The following is a 14764-nucleotide window of genomic DNA, read 5'->3' as shown; positions in this document are numbered from 1 at the left end:
ACCTTTTTCTCTTTTTTCCTCTGGAGCTCCTGTGAGTATGTTGGTGTGTTTCATGGTATCCTATAAATCCTTCAGGCTCTTTTCATTTTTCTTCATTCTTTTTTCTTTCTGCTTCTCAGACTGGATAATTTCAAGTTTGCTCATCTTTCCTTCAGCCTGCTCAAAACTACTGTTGAACCTCTTTAGTGAGTTTTTTGTTTGTTTCAGTTATTCTACTTGCCAGCTCAAGAATTTCTATTTGACTTGTTATTATAGTTTCTGTCACTTCGATATTCTCATTTTGTTCATACATCACTTTCTTGATTTCCTTTAGTTTTTTGTCCATAATTTCCTTTGTCTCATTGAACATATTTAAGGCATTTGACATAATGTCTTTGACCAATAATTCCGATATCTGATCTTCCTCAGGGGTACCTTCTTCAAATTATTTTTTGTTCCTGTGAATGGGCTCTTCTTTCCTATTTCTTCATATGTTTTGTAGATCTTTCTTGGTCATAACTGGACATTTTGGGTGTTATGTTGTGGTAATTCGGGAAATATATTTCTCCCACTTATTAGGGATTATTGAATCTTCCTTGTTGAGGGCTAGAACTGTCTGTTTGTGACTTTTCCAAATTATTTTTTGCAAGGTGTGTTCCTTATTGTGTGTTGTCGTTGAACTTTCTGTTCCATTGTTCCTGCAGTCAGCCAGTGACCTAACAAAGATTTCCATAAATGTCTGGCTACCAAAGTGGAGGGAAAGTATTGCCTTTTAAAATCTCCTAGAAGCTACTTCAGCCTGTGAGGGTTGAAACAATGACTGCCAGCCTTTGTGATAGCTTCTCAGCAATCAAAAGGAATATCAGTGCTCAGGACACAATGCTGGTGGTCAGAGGACAAGGTCCTTATTGCCCACCCTGGCTTCAGCAAGCTGCGTCTGGAATATGACCCAGCCCTGCTTCAACTTTTTGTGGCAGAGGTGGGAGGTGGGGGGTGACAGCCAATATCTTATGAGAGGCTGAAAATCATTTAAATTGATTGACATTTACCAGCTTCTTTACCAGTCTTTCTCCTTGGTGCTGAAAGCATTTGACTAGACCCCAAAGTTCCAACATATTTGATTCATGTAAGTTCCATAGTTATTTAGATAAGGGGATACATTTTTGGAGCTTCTTGTTCTGCCATCTGCTGTCTAGACATTGGCCTTTATTTCTTTTGGATAAATACTTGAGAGTGAAATAGGAAGTATGTTTAATTCTTTAGAAAGTGCTAAACTGCTTTCCAAAGTGGTAGCACCATTTACATCCCTGCCAGCAGTGTGTGCAAGCTCCAGTTGCTCAGGGTACTACATCTTTCCCAATAGTGGGAATGGTCAGGCTTTTAAATTTTAGACATTCTAATAAATATGAAGCTATATTCCATTGTGGTTTTAATTTGCATTTCCCCAGTGCCTAATGATGTTGAGTGTCTTGTCATATTCTTATTTGCCGTCCATATTTCTCCTTTTGAGAGGCATCTGTTCAATCTTTTGCTCATTTTTAATTAGGTTGTTTGCTTTCTTAGTATTGAGTTTTGAGGGTTCTTTATTCTGAATACAAGTCCTTTATCAGATAATGTGATTTGGAAACATTTTCTTCCAATCTGTGGCTTATGTTTTCATTCTTTTAACAGAGATTTTTGGAGATTATTATTAATCTGCTAATTATTATTATTATTAGATGGGTTGTCGTATTTACTCATCGCAAAATAGCAGAGCAGCTATTATTATTTCTGTTTTACAGGTGAAGAAATTAAGGCTTAGAGGAGTTAGTCATTTGCCCAAGGTCACAAATTAGAAAGTAATGGAGCGAGAATTTGGACCCGGGACCATCTGAGTCCACAGCCTGAGCCCTTCTCCCCAGTTCTGGGCTCATGGCTACCTCTCGGTGCTGGGATGGAGCCTCTCTGGGGTGTTTGGCCCCACTGCCACTGCTGCTAGCGATGCAGGCCTGCTGAGCCCCTCCCGTGTCCCCATCTTTCCATCTCCTTCCTCCAGGCTGGTGGAGGAAGTGAAGGAGCTGTGTGATGGCCTGGAGTTAGAAAATGAAGATGTGTACATGGCATCCACCTTTGGGGACTTCATCCAGCTGTTAGTGAGGAAGCTGCGAGGGGACGATGAGGAGGGCGAGTGCAGCATTGACTACGTGAGTGCTGGGCCCTCCCTGCAGCAGGCCCTGCAGAGCCCTCAGGCAGCTGCATCTATGACTACATAAGACAAGAGGGGAAACCTGGACATTCAGAAAGCCAGGGCCCCAGGAGCCCACCCTTCAGTTTCCCACACTCTCCCTGCACCCGGGATAGCCTGGGGATGTCAGTACAGTGGGGCCAGCTTGCCAGAGGATGTTGCTGTCTGATGCTCAGGACATGGGCCAAACTCTGAGTCCCAAGGCAGGTGATCAAGATATTAAGAAGAGACTTTTAGTTCCCACTAAGGAAACAAATAATCCTATACATTCAACTTGTGTGTATGGAAGTGTGACAAGTAATTGAAAATCTGTTTTTTAAGGAAATTAAGAAATCTTCCTTGAGCTATCTTGGTAGACTGCCACCTCCCATAAGAATGGGCTTTAGCATAGTTTGTTTGGCTGGTAGATTGGAACAAAAGTGGGTGAAGTAAGGGGCCAAGGTGGACCTAAGGGTGTCCTTGGGATTGAGGACAAATGACTGACGAACAGATTTCAGGAGGAGGATCATATCCCAGAGGTGCCTGGGTTCAGGGAGGAATTGCCAATCCACAGGGATGTGAGTGGTGGGTTGTAGCATGTCTGGGGCTTGCCAAGGGCTTCACTAGCCACTGGCATTTTCCTCTGTCTGAGTCCTCTTAGCCCACCCTAAGGAGGCTGAGGAGCCAGCCCAAGGTGGCACAGGGAGTAGGTGGAAGCGCAGAGCTCCCGCCAGGCAGCCTGGCCTCAGAGCCTGTCCTTTGTCTCTCCCCTGCTCAGCTGTTGCCTACATGCAGCTCTGAAGCCCCAGGAGGCCCCTGGGCAGTGTGTGTGTGTGACTGTGTGGCCATCTGTGTATGCTTCCTGCACCCTGCATGGGTTTGTGCTTGTCACTGGGGCCTTTCTTTCAGGTGGAAATGGCAGTGAACAAGCGCACTGTCCGCATGCCCCACCAGCTCTTCATTGGGGGGGAGTTCGTGGATGCCGAGGGCGCCAAGACCTCTGAGACCATCAATCCCACCGATGGAAGTGTGAGTGCAGGCCCAGCACCCCTTCTCCACATTCCCCAGCCTCCCTGTCCTTCCTTCCCTGCCCCCACTGGCCTCTGGGGGTCCTGACCCTGAGAGTCTCTGCTTGGACATGTGCCTTTGAGAGGGACGGGAAAGAATGCCAGGTCGTTTCCAGCCCACCTTACTGGAGTGGAGTGGAGAGGAGGTGCAGGGTGGTGGCAGGTGGCAGGAGGGCTCGGAAGGGTCTTGCACCTGCTTCAGAGACTGGGAACAGAGTTCCTCCTACCCCAAGGAAGAAATTAGGCCACTGCCACACTTGCACACTTCAGCAGTAGCCCCAGTGTGAGACTACCTTGTCTACTACTTGAGCCCTCCACCGTTAGGACATTCTTCTTCGACCTGAGTCCTGTGTTTGCCACTCCTTCTTGACTGTGACCTTGTGGCATCATGAGCCAAAGCACGCCTATGGTAGATACACACGTGAACATATCCAAAACACAGGTTTCAAAGCAGGGCTTGCTTTTATGGCTGCATACTGACATTTTTCTATCCTGTCCATCCTATAGAATTGGCCAAGTCCTTGCAGAAGACAGAGAGCACACTCAAAATGAGTCATTTGAGAGGAGTTAATGAAAGACTCATCTGCAAAGGGAGAGGGAGGGGGTAGGGACACAGACAGGACAGTGCGGTGCCCTTGGGACGGAGCATCAGGAGGGGCTGAGGATGGGGCCTTGGCAGAAGGGGCATGGCTGTCTTGTGGCGGCAGACAGGAGGCACTGGCTTTGCCCTCCCTGGGCTGCCCTCACCACACCCCACCGGCTCCCCTCACCACACCCAGCAGGCACCAAGGTGAGGGAGCCTGCACGGATGGCACACTCAGGGCAGGAACAGGGTGGGGACCTTGGGGTGTAGACACACAAACAGCCCTCTCCCAGGGCCCTGTCTTCCCTTCCTGTGTAAACCCTCCCAGGGTTGTCCTTTGGCCATGCTTCTCCTCCACACCTGCTCATGTGGACAGGGGCCGCCTCACTGGGGCCCCAGGAGGAGGCCAGGGAAGCAGGCAGGGGTATCTGTGTGCAACTGGCTTAGGGAGAACTTGTCATGGCTCTGCTTCCACTATAGGTCATCTGCCAGGTATCCCTGGCCCAAGTCACCGACGTCGACAAGGCAGTGGCCGCAGCCAAGGATGCCTTTGAGAATGGACGGTGGGGGAAGATCAGTGCGCGGGACCGGGGCCGGCTGATGTACAGGTGGGAGCCCAACATGTACCTGCCAGCCACTGCCACCATCAGCTTCTGGGCAGTGGCACGGGGGGGACTTCTGTGGAGGCCCTTTTACCTGCCAGGAGGAGCTGGGTCCTGGGGAGGCTATGGGACCGAGGCCATCAGATGGGCCAGGCTGGGGCTCCTTGCCTGAGGCTCAGAAAAGGCTTCTCAGAGGAAGGGATATGAGAAACAGGAGACATTTCAGCAGAGTGGGCTCAGGGGAGGTGCCTGGTGGAGGTGAGGAGGTGCGGAAGCCAAGGGATGCTTCCAAAGTGGGCGCAGGCTGGGCCTCCCAGGCAGACAAAGCACTTCCCTCACCAGCCTGGGCTGGAGGGGACTTAGCTCCTGCACGCAGAAGACAGCAAGGGCCAGAGAAGGGCTGGCCTGGTCTCTGCTTGCTCAGCCAGGCTCTGACTACTGGAATCTATAGGTTTCACATTTTCTATTAAAAAAAAAAAAAAAATTTAAGCCAGGGAGAAAGGGGCCTTCTCTCCTTAGTTCCAGTTCAGACGTCTTAGGCAAGGACTTATGATGACTTTAGCTTATGACCTTAGAGTGAGAGGAAGGCCTGGAAGAGAGGTGCTGTGCCCCTGGAACCACAGGGCCTGGCGGGAAGGAGCAGTCACCCTCACAGAGGTGGAGTGATGTTCCTGGGAGAAGAGAGGGTGCGGCCAGATGAGCCGAGAACACAGGTGTCTTGGGGCCTGGCTCTTTCGCTGGGGTCCTGGGAACGTCTAGGGGTGCGAAGCCAAGTTATGGCGTGGTCCCAACGAAGCTCCTCACCTGGCAGGAGAGACCCTGCCTTGGCCTTGCGGTCAGAATGGCTTCTGTTTCTGTTATACTCCAGAGGCCAGAAAAGCCGGGGCAGCCCAGCAGCAGGAAACTAGAGAGAGGGGTTGCAAGAGCATGGTCTGCAAAACCGAATGGAGATTAGGGTTGGGGCAGGGAGGGCTGTGGGGGTCGGGCATGCCCAGCCTTTCATAGGTTCCAGTCCCCTTCGCAAGCCCCTCAATTCTAGAAAGGCACTGGCCACGCCAAGTGGTCCCTAGAGTTCCTGGAGGTCAGGAAGAGCTGTGAAACAAGCACGACAGGTGGCGGGAGAACCTCTGGCCTGGGCCCTGCGTGCGCGTTTGGTGGACCGCACAACCAACAGCGTGCGTGGGGTCCCTCCCTTGGCCTCTGCTGCCATCTGGTGGCTTGTATCATAACAGATTCTACTCACCCATAATGACAGTGAGGGGGGCACCCTGGGCAGCTGTAAGTGGACCCCTTCCTGTCCTATGCAAACTCTCAGGCCCCGTGAAGACCTGGGAGTGCCCATTACTGGTTCTGCCTCAGCTCAGCACAGCAGAGGCTGGGTCTAGGTGTCCCGGAGGGGGCAGTTCAGGAGCTCCCAGATAAATGGCTGCAGAGCACCCTGTCAGGGTGGCGGGACCACCGTGGGTGTTAGGGAACACGAAATTCACTGCAGGAATCAGACATTACACAATTGTGGAAGCTAGGAAGAAGGATCCAGAGGGAGAGTTAGACAAGGTTCCTAGGCAGTCCCCTGAACTCCTGGTAGACAGGATAGAACCTCCAGGGAGTAGGAGCAGCCGTATCCAGCTGCCAAGTGGGGCCACAAAGAGGAGCTCCTGGGAAAGACCGTGGGGGAGCTGCTGGCTCTGCCCAGATACCACTGTGGTCCACGGCTGAGAATCTGACGGTGGTCCAGGCTGCTGGTGGTCAGTAGGGCCGGCCGAGCCTGCTGGGCACCCCTGCATCTGCCCTGCAGACCTTCAGAGGGAGATGGCAGCAGCTTCACTTCTCCTGCACTGCTACCCTGGCACCCAGGGACTGGGCTCTGGGGAGCATGGGTGCCAGGGTGTGAATTCAGCAGCCTAACTGAATTAACAATAGAATAGTCCTGCAAGGCAGCCTCTCAGAGCTTCCCGAATAGTGCACTCGGGTGATGGATACTTTAGAAAGTGTGTCCTGGGAACTGGATTGATGACACAGCCATGTCACACACAGGTGGAATTATCTAGAAATGTGGGGGATTCAAAGGATTGGGGCTGATGAAGGAGAAGGATGTGAGCAGGGGAGGCATGGCACACCACAAGCTTTAGTGGGCTGCAGGTTGGGTAGGGTTGCAGGAGACGAGCAGTGAGACTGTCCCAAGGCTGCCGTGTGGGCTTCCATGTCCAGGTGACAACACACAGTGATGCAGTGGGAGCCTCTGGGTCTGAGGGCTGCCAAGGGCAGTAGCAGCTTTCACCTTATCACCCCAAGGCCCTGTTTTATCAATGGGCAACAACTGCTGGTTGAGGTTCCTCTGGGTATGCAAAGCAGCGGGCCCTAAGTGGCTAAAAACGTACCTGTTTGGGCTACTTTAAGCCTAACTGGGAGTGGGAAAATTTGAGTTTGGTGCCAGCAGGCTTTGGAGCAAATGGGTCTCATTTATATAACAAAGAGGCAGCTCCTGTCTTCGCAGCTGGGGAGCCTAGTCCTCTATCGGCCGCTAGGTGATGTTTTCACTATTTGCTGTACAAAATCGGTTTTTCTCAGGAACCGATTTACGCATGGGCTCTCCTTGCCCAGGGTGGCCTCGCTCAGTTGGTTTTATGCAGCAAACCTGAGCTGAGTGCTTCCCAGTGCTGTGCTGGAGCTGGGCGCTGCAGAGAGCAGGGAACCAGACAGCGCCCTGCCTCCTGCAGCCTGGATTCCAGTGGGCAGGCAAATCGTGATGAAATTATCATCTACCTGAATGTCTGTTACAAACTGTAGTGGTGGGGGAGTGAAGAAAGGCAGAGGAGGCTATCAGAGGATGTGACAGGGAGCTCTGATCAGTCAGAACATGGTTGGGGATTTGGGTCGGCTTCCCATTGAGTCCGTGTCTGAAACAAGTACAGAAGGCTAAGAGGAGAAACAGGAGTGTGGAAAGGGGGCCCAGACATGCAACACAGCCCCTAAAAGCCAAGGCAGGAGGCCTGACTGACCTGAGCACCTGGAAGAGGCCGATGTGAGGAGGAGGAGGGAGGCAGAGGAGCTGGGGTCTTGTGGCCCCAGAATGAAATGGAAATGGCCAGGAGCTGCTTGGCCAGGCACAGAGTTGCAGATGCATCCTGAGTGGCGTGGACAGCTGTCACGGGTCCTGGTGGGTGTAGGCAGGTGAGGACCGGAGCAGGCCTGGGGTGCGTGTGGGCTTCATGGTGCCTGGGTGCAGAGGGGAGCAGTGTGGGAAACGGCTGGCAGGCTTTGGTCCCACACTTGCCTCTGGGCCCGAGCTGCCCTGTCTCCAAGGCTGAGTTTGCTCTGGGCCTGTGGTCTCCACTTTCCCTGTCCACCCTCCCCCTAGGGGATGAGAGGGGCACCCTCATAACTCCCAGGCTGCCCACAGCTGCACATCCGTCAGAATCAAGGGAGGGCAACCCGACCTCGGCATGCTCAGGCTGAAGCCAGTCTGTGTAAACGCGTCAGCCCCCACGTTGCTCCCTAGTCAGCCCTTCTGTGATGGGGATGGGGCCACCTCTCCATCTCTGGAGATGCCAGGCTCAGGAGCATGCCCCCACCATCCTGGACTGAACAGTTGGTTTATTGGTGCTGGAAAGACAGATGGACTTTCTCCTGGTTCAAGCTTTCCGAAGACAGGAAGGGCAGCCTCTTGGGCCATGACCCCTTTGCTGTCTGCAGCAAGTGGGTGAATGCCTCTGCAGGATAATTTCGGAGGAATAGGATAAAGTAGTGGATCCACAAATACTTCAGGAAGGAAGCGAGGGAAGATCGAGGAAAGGAGAGAGGGACAGAGGGTGTCATCCTCACAGCTATCCGGTGGAGTAAACGGTGCTGGCCCATTGCATGGATCAGAAACGGAGGTCCGCACATCTGAGAGTGGCAGAACTGGGGTAGAGGGCAGGACCCCAGCTCCTTGAAGAAGGGCCTTGTGAGGGCAGATGAGGCCGTGCCAGGCCTGAGCCCACCTCCCGCTTCCCCTCACCCTGGTCAGGTTGGCAGATCTCATGGAGCAGCACCAGGAGGAGCTGGCCACCATTGAGGCCCTGGATGCGGGTGCCGTCTACACGCTGGCCCTGAAGACCCACGTGGGCATGTCCATCCAGACCTTCCGCTACTTTGCTGGCTGGTGTGACAAGATCCAGGTGGGGCCCAGGCTCCCACCCAGTGTGAGCACATGCAGACTGGCCCAGCCATATAGGAGAACTCCAAGGGCAGCACAGTCATCTGCATGCTGCGCAGCAAATGACCACAACTGGTGGCTTGGAATGACACCTGTTTATTAGCTTGTGGTCCTGCAGGTGGGAATTCCAGGCAGGCTGGGCTGGGTTCCATGCCAAGGTCTCACAAGGCCAAAGCTAAGGCGCTGGCTGGACTGGGCCTTATCTGGAGACTCTGGGACAGAACCTGCATCCAGACGAGTTCGGGTGTTGACAGAGTTCAGTTCCGTGTGGATGCAGGGCTGAGGCCGCAGGTCCTTCCTGGCTGCAGGTCCCTGCTCAGGGCACTGTATCTCCCAGCGGCAGCAGGTCACTCTCGGGCTTGGGATCCCTGTGACACTGTCTTCTGCCTGCTTTTCTGGGGGCTCCTGCAGTTATTCTGGGCTCATGGGCACTATGTCCCCACCTTAGGGTCAACAGGGACAGTCAACACCTCATAGGAGGGAGTGTCACCATATCTTCAGGCTCCCGCCATCAGTTGTGGAACTTGGGGGCCATTTGTAGAGGCTCCCTGGGGAGGTCCACCTCTGCAGGACTCATGGCGTCTCTGCCAGATCAGATCTGGGCTCCATGGTTCCTCCTCTCCACCAGGGCATGACAGCGACAAGGGAGGTGGGCTGCCTGGTGCCCGCCCCTACTCCGCAGCTGTGTAGCTTCTGGCTGCAGCTGGACCCCCCAAGGCCTGGGCCTTCTACATGTGCTCAACTGCTTAGAGCTGTGGGGAGGGGGACACCCGGCCCTGCCCCCACCCTCACCCTTTCTTGCTCGAATGTCAAAGCTAGAGGCTTTGCTGGTACCAGGACCAGCTTCCACCCAAGGGCTCTGCCTGCCAGGCTCAGAGTGGAGCAAACACCTTGCCCCTCTGGCTGCCCCCCTGCCTGTCTCTCAAGCCTCAGGTCACACCTAAGCTGGTCGCTTTGACTTCCTCCTGGAGACCCTGGTGGAGACTTGCTGCCTAGAGGGGAAGGGGTGTGGACCCTGGGCCCCTGGGTGACTGCCCCTGTTCCTCTTCCAGGGCTCCACCATCCCCATCAACCAGGCCAGACCCAACCGCAACCTGACCTTGACCAGGAAGGAGCCTGTTGGGTGAGTTCCTGCCCAGGGCGAGGTGCAGCCTCGCGGTGCTTTCCATGCAGTACACGGAACTGTAGCACAGCCTGCGGGAGCTCACAGCACCCTGTGCGTGCATTTATCAAACAGCCATCCATGTGCTTCTTGAGCACCTGCTCCATGCCAGGCATTGTTGTAAGGACTTGAGGACAATTGTATTTAATCTCCCAGTAACACTGGATCAGTCAGGTCCACGGTGGGAAACAAGAGTAAACCCAAAAAATGTCCAAAATGGGTATGGTGGTCAGTGTTCATAAAGATGAGGAACTCCTGCACAGCACTGAGGAACAGGAAATATAGAACAAAGGAGGAACAGGCAGAGGACGAGAGCTGCTCAGCAGGAGGAGTTCGGACCCCGCTGGATGCCAAGCATGTAGGCGCCGGGAAATGAACCTGGCGTGAGGCACCTCACCTCGCCACCCAGTGGCCCCAGGGCAGGAGTAGGGAGAAGGGCTTGGAACACAGCCACCGGGCTCTGGGTTTTCCCTGCTAGAGGAAACTGGGCAGTGACCTCTCGAGGCCATACATCCTGATTTGGCCCCAGTCCTGGTGAGTTACTCACACGCGTGCCTGAGGAGGCTTACCCAAGAGTGCATGGCCACTGTGCTAGGCCGGTGACAGCAAACACCAGAGCAGCAGGTGCTGGTGCAGCCCTGATCCATGATCTGCACTGAGGATGCGCCTGCAACTGGACCTAGAGAGCCCCAGCCCTGGGTCCACCCTCACTGCGCCTGCACGCGGTGCCACAGGAGAGCCTGGCCAGGGTGACCTGGGAGCAGGGCCCAGCTGGCATGAGCACCACAGTCATTCCCACCTGCTCTGTGCCCCTTGCAGGGTAGGGGACCTCACAGCTGTGGGCATGGCCAAAGGCCCCTCAGCTCCACCTGAATGTTGGAGTATTTGCAAGGAGAACGTGCTCCAATGTCCCTGTGTCACTGACAGCTCATGCAGATGAACAACCAACTCCTCAAGCACGGGCTGGAGGAGGCTCCTGTGGGAAAGTGGGCTGTGGACCCTTAGAGCCCCAGAGAGGAGCCAGGCTGCAGGTGGAGGCATCGCCTCCAGGGTCCCCACAGAGGACATCGGGCAAGGTCTGCACATGGTTTTGGTTGTCCCATCAGAGGGGGTGATAGAGTACAGCCCCCCACAACAAAGAACTGCCCCGCCCCAAATGTCAGTAGTGTGGGAGCCAAGAAACCCTGCTATGGGGCAGTGGTCAGAGACCTTTGTCGTGCTTTGAAAGGGGCTGGGCTGGGCTGGGCAGGGCAGGGCGGGTCGTGGCCCACCTGGGGCCACAGTTCAGAGCCACACTTGGGTCTTTGAGGCTGCCCACCCCTCCCAGCTGCCAGCATGGGGTTGGGGGGTGTCCACCCCCATCAGACTGAGGAGGAAACAGACACTGTGTCACCCAGAAGCATCCCTATGTCACCCTGTGAGGCTGGCCTTGGACCCAGGACTCTGGGCGCCTGGTCAGCACCCCAGTGTGAACACATCCTGCCCTGGGGCCTGGTCCCAGCAGCTCACACAGACCAGGGCTCGCCCAAAGGCAGGTAGGCAGGGCCACTGCTGACCATGCACCTGGTGGGCCGTGATTCTGGAACTAATGGTCTCTGCCTGGCAGGGAGGCCGCCAGGGCCTCTGGGCTTCACCCCTCCCCACCTTCACAGGGGACCTCGCCTCAGTGGGAATGTTCTGGAGCCGGAACCCAAGGTTGGAATCCCAGCTCCTCCCCTTTCTAGGGCAAGCTCCCAGCCTGTCTGTACTCAGTCTCCCCAACTGTCAAATGGTAATAAAACAGTCCTGTCCTCACTGAGTTGTTTGGATGGGTGAGCATCAGGTGTCTAGGGCACAGCATGCTGTGAAGGAGTTAGGAGGGCCAGGTGAAGGAGCCATGCAGGGCCGGGCCTCCTGGGTAATGGGACTAAGAGGAGAATTCTGTATGTGGTTCTGAGAAGGAGCAGAGTCCAGCTCTTTTGGATGTTTGTGTTAGGAAATTTACTAGAGACCATGTCACTGCTCCACTCGGAATCCTCGGGTGGCTTCCCAGTGCCCTTGACATGGAATCAAACTTCTCGCTTGGCCATGCAATCCGGGCCTGGTATCCTGGCCCCCTCCCCAGTCCACTGTGGTTGGCTGTGCTGGCCTCACGGATCCCAGGCCCTCCACCCTCATGCCCCACTGAGCACTTGCACCTGTGTCCCACCTCCAGCCCTCACCAGCTGTCCTCCAGCTCTCATCTGTGATGCATCCGCCAGACCTCTGCTCCCAGCCTGCCCTCTCTAATCTATAATCTCATTTTATTCTCTGTGTGAGCATTCAGACTGATGCTGCCCTGTGCCCATGCCTGTCATCATCCCAGCACACCTGCAGTGTCCCATAAATACTGCAGAATGACTGAGTGATCAGAGCTAGAGAGCCCCAGCCCCGGGTCCACCCTCACTGTGCCTGCACGCGGTGCCAGAGGAGGGCCTGGCCAGGGTAAGGGGCTGCCCATCTCCTCCCCTGGCCAGTGCCACCGCAACCTCAGCAGTGAGGCTGCAGCTGCCTCGTGGGGAGCCCCTTCCCCTCATGTCTTCAGCCGCACCCTGGCCCAACAGCCACTCGAGCTCCCTAGTGAGCCAAGCATTTCTTGGGGACACCAAGAAACCTTGCTTGGTGTCCCCTGCCCAGGCTCCATGCTCCCGAGAGAGAGAAGGAACTCCACCCTCACCGTCCATGCAGCTCCCCAGGAGCGTCAGAGGGCAGAGGAGGGGGCTCAGGGCCGCACAGCAGGAGAATGGCCCCAAGGGAGGGAGGGACGGGCCTAAGAACCATGGGGTGGTTGTCTCACTGGATGTCCACTCAGTCTCCCACTAAGAAAGCCCACTAGGAATTAGAGGCAGCAAGGCTAATGAAAGTCGGTTTTCACAGCAGCTGGGCAGGGAGGATTCACCTGGGCCTGGGTCCTGCAGCCCTGCTCCTTTGACCCCGTGCCAGGGCCAGCTCTGCACACTCCAGTCCCGGGGCTCGGCCTTTCCCCTAACCAGTGAGTGTGGGCGTCAGTTCGGGCTGCTGTAGAAGAGACCACCAATCCAGGGCCTAATCAATGGAAACTCGTCTCCTGGTTCTGGGAGCTGGAAATCTGAGGTCAGATGTGGGCAGAGCTGTTTCCACATGAGGGCTGTGAGGGTCTGTCCTGACCTCTCTTCTGGCATCTGGTGGCTGCTGGTGACCTCTGGCCTTCCTTGGCTTGCAGGGAGACCCCGTCTCTGCCTCATGCCCTCTTGGCATTCCCACTGTGAGTCTGTCTCTCCATGTGGTGTTCTTTGTATGAGGACAGCATTCCTCCTAAATTAGGGGCCCGCCCACCCCAGTGCTACCACATCCTAATTAATTACAACACAGCAATCTGGTCTCCAAGCAAGGGCATGCCATTAGACTCTGGAGATTAGGGCTTCAGCATACGAATTGGGGAGTGGGGGCACAATTCAGCACATAATTGTGGGGCTTTTCTGATGTGTTTTCTTTTCCGAGCTCCCCTCAGCCCCGTTCACTGTAACCGACGGCTTCACCTGCTCCCTGGGAACACTCAGCAGCCCGTGCTGTGCTCCCAATCTCCTGGGTGTGTGTGGGGTGTGGGGCAGCTCCCCTATCTCAGTGCTCCCTGCTGCTCCCCCCTGATGCCTCACACGGGTCCTGCCCACCGCCTGTGTCTGGCTAAGCAGCTTTCTTTTGGGGAAACACCCAGTGATGGTGGTGGGGTGGCGACAGGAGCCTGTGCGTGGTCTACGGGGCTCTGTGTGGATGTCCTCATCTGACTGTCCAGCGCTCAACCAAAGTGGTGCTGTATGGGGGGAAGGCAGGGCCACACAGGATTCATACCCGGCCAGTGTGCCTGCTGGTCCCTGGGACTCTGCGGCCTCCCCAGTGCCCACGGTGCTCTGAGTATGAGGCACCTGTGCCTGGCCAGAGGCTCGCTCTAGAACCCAGGGTGGCACTGACACTGGGCACCATGGCTTCACACAGAGCACCCTGACTTCATCAGTGCTGCCTTGCTGACTCTGTCTTCTCTTCTTGAGGATTGACACCTGGCCTCACACTCTGGAGGACCCTCTCCAGGCCCTCCTGACCCACCCCTGGTGACCCCTGACCCTCTTTAGCTGACCCTGGCCTGTGTCCTCACCTGTGCCTGCCTGCCATCACCCTCTCTCATTGCCTGTGCCCCAGACAGTTCCACAGCTTCCATCAGAAATGGTCCAGTATCCCATGCCATCCTGCCCTGCTAGGAAGAGGGGCTGCTGCCAGACCAATTCTTACTGTAGCATCCAGGACAGAAACAGCAGGCGTGAGCTGCCTCTCAGAGGGACCTTGGGTGCCTTATCAGGAAGCCTGGCTTTGAGAGTGGATGTCAGGCCCTGGGTGAGGTGGAGGGAATTGGCAGGTCCACTGTGGGCCTGGTGGAGAAGAAGGACAAAGGCCAACCTCTTTTGTGTGGCAGGGTTTGTGGCATCATCATCCCCTGGAACTATCCCCTGATGATGCTGTCCTGGAAGACAGCTGCCTGCCTGGCTGCCGGGAACACAGTGGTGATCAAGCCTGCTCAGGTGAGCGTGGGTTCACTCTGGACAGGGCCTGCAGGCCACAGAGAGGATCAGGAACTCACTCTATAAGGGAGGAAGGGAAGGGCCTCTCTTGGCCACACGGGCACTGGAAGAAGGGTCCTGCTAATGCCAGCTGCCCTCCATGGGCCCCACTCTCAGTGGGCAGAGGCGTATGTGGCAGGCAGAGCTCTCCAAAGCAGACTCTTTTTCAGCCATGGCTGCTTGAGGCCATCTGGCTGTGCTGGAACTTGCAGCTGCTCGGGTGAGCAGAGGCAGGGATTTCTGCACTCTGGATTCATGGGGCAGAAACCAGGCCCCATGCTCTAAGACAGCCTGAGTAGTCTATCCATAAAGCTGGTGCCATGTCCCTTATGTGGCTTCCGAGACCAGAAGTCCTGGAGAGAAGCA

At 55.4% G+C, this 14764-nt stretch overlaps 1 protein-coding gene across 9 annotated transcripts in view, besides 4 other annotated features; it reads left to right on the top strand.

Moving 5' to 3' along the window:
- The window catches only part of ALDH1L1 (aldehyde dehydrogenase 1 family member L1), a 94376-nt gene that overhangs the window by 57971 nt on the left and 21641 nt on the right, over positions 1-14764 (top strand). For 6 of the 9 annotated variants that reach the window (XM_024453325.2, XM_011512355.2, NM_001270364.2 and 3 more), the window contains 6 exons: positions 2015-2162; positions 3092-3211; positions 4313-4440; positions 8441-8591; positions 9682-9752; positions 14254-14359. In XM_024453325.2, coding sequence (XP_024309093.1) covers positions 2015-2162; positions 3092-3211; positions 4313-4440; positions 8441-8591; positions 9682-9752; positions 14254-14359 — 724 coding nt within the window. The remainder of the gene's footprint in view (positions 1-2014; positions 2163-3091; positions 3212-4312; positions 4441-8440; positions 8592-9681; positions 9753-14253; positions 14360-14764) is intronic. The other 3 variants (XM_017005613.3, XM_017005614.3, NR_072979.2) reach the window with 2 other exon arrangements.
- Positions 2615-3115: an enhancer, noted in NCBI's record as "H3K4me1 hESC enhancer chr3:125855703-125856203 (GRCh37/hg19 assembly coordinates)". NCBI's record gives its function as "activates a minimal SCP1, AML or CMV promoter by ChIP-STARR-seq in primed H9 embryonic stem cells {active_cell/tissue: H9 hESC(primed)}" and the evidence as "EXISTENCE:reporter gene assay evidence [ECO:0000049][PMID:30033119]".
- Positions 5643-5722: a silencer, noted in NCBI's record as "silent region_14674". NCBI's record gives its function as "represses an Ori minimal core promoter by ATAC-STARR-seq in GM12878 lymphoblastoid cells {active_cell/tissue: GM12878}" and the evidence as "EXISTENCE:reporter gene assay evidence [ECO:0000049][PMID:35858748]".
- Positions 7320-8137: an enhancer, noted in NCBI's record as "H3K4me1 hESC enhancer chr3:125850681-125851498 (GRCh37/hg19 assembly coordinates)". NCBI's record gives its function as "activates a minimal SCP1, AML or CMV promoter by ChIP-STARR-seq in primed H9 embryonic stem cells {active_cell/tissue: H9 hESC(primed)}" and the evidence as "EXISTENCE:reporter gene assay evidence [ECO:0000049][PMID:30033119]".
- Positions 10269-11039: an enhancer, noted in NCBI's record as "H3K4me1 hESC enhancer chr3:125847779-125848549 (GRCh37/hg19 assembly coordinates)". NCBI's record gives its function as "activates a minimal SCP1, AML or CMV promoter by ChIP-STARR-seq in primed H9 embryonic stem cells {active_cell/tissue: H9 hESC(primed)}" and the evidence as "EXISTENCE:reporter gene assay evidence [ECO:0000049][PMID:30033119]".

The sequence above is a fragment of the Homo sapiens genome, chromosome 3 (assembly GCF_000001405.40).
Source record: "Homo sapiens chromosome 3, GRCh38.p14 Primary Assembly".
In the NCBI taxonomy this organism is placed as follows: Eukaryota; Metazoa; Chordata; class Mammalia; order Primates; family Hominidae; genus Homo; species Homo sapiens.
Note: the sequence above shows the minus strand (reverse complement) of the source record. Positions and strands in the feature narration are given on the sequence as shown.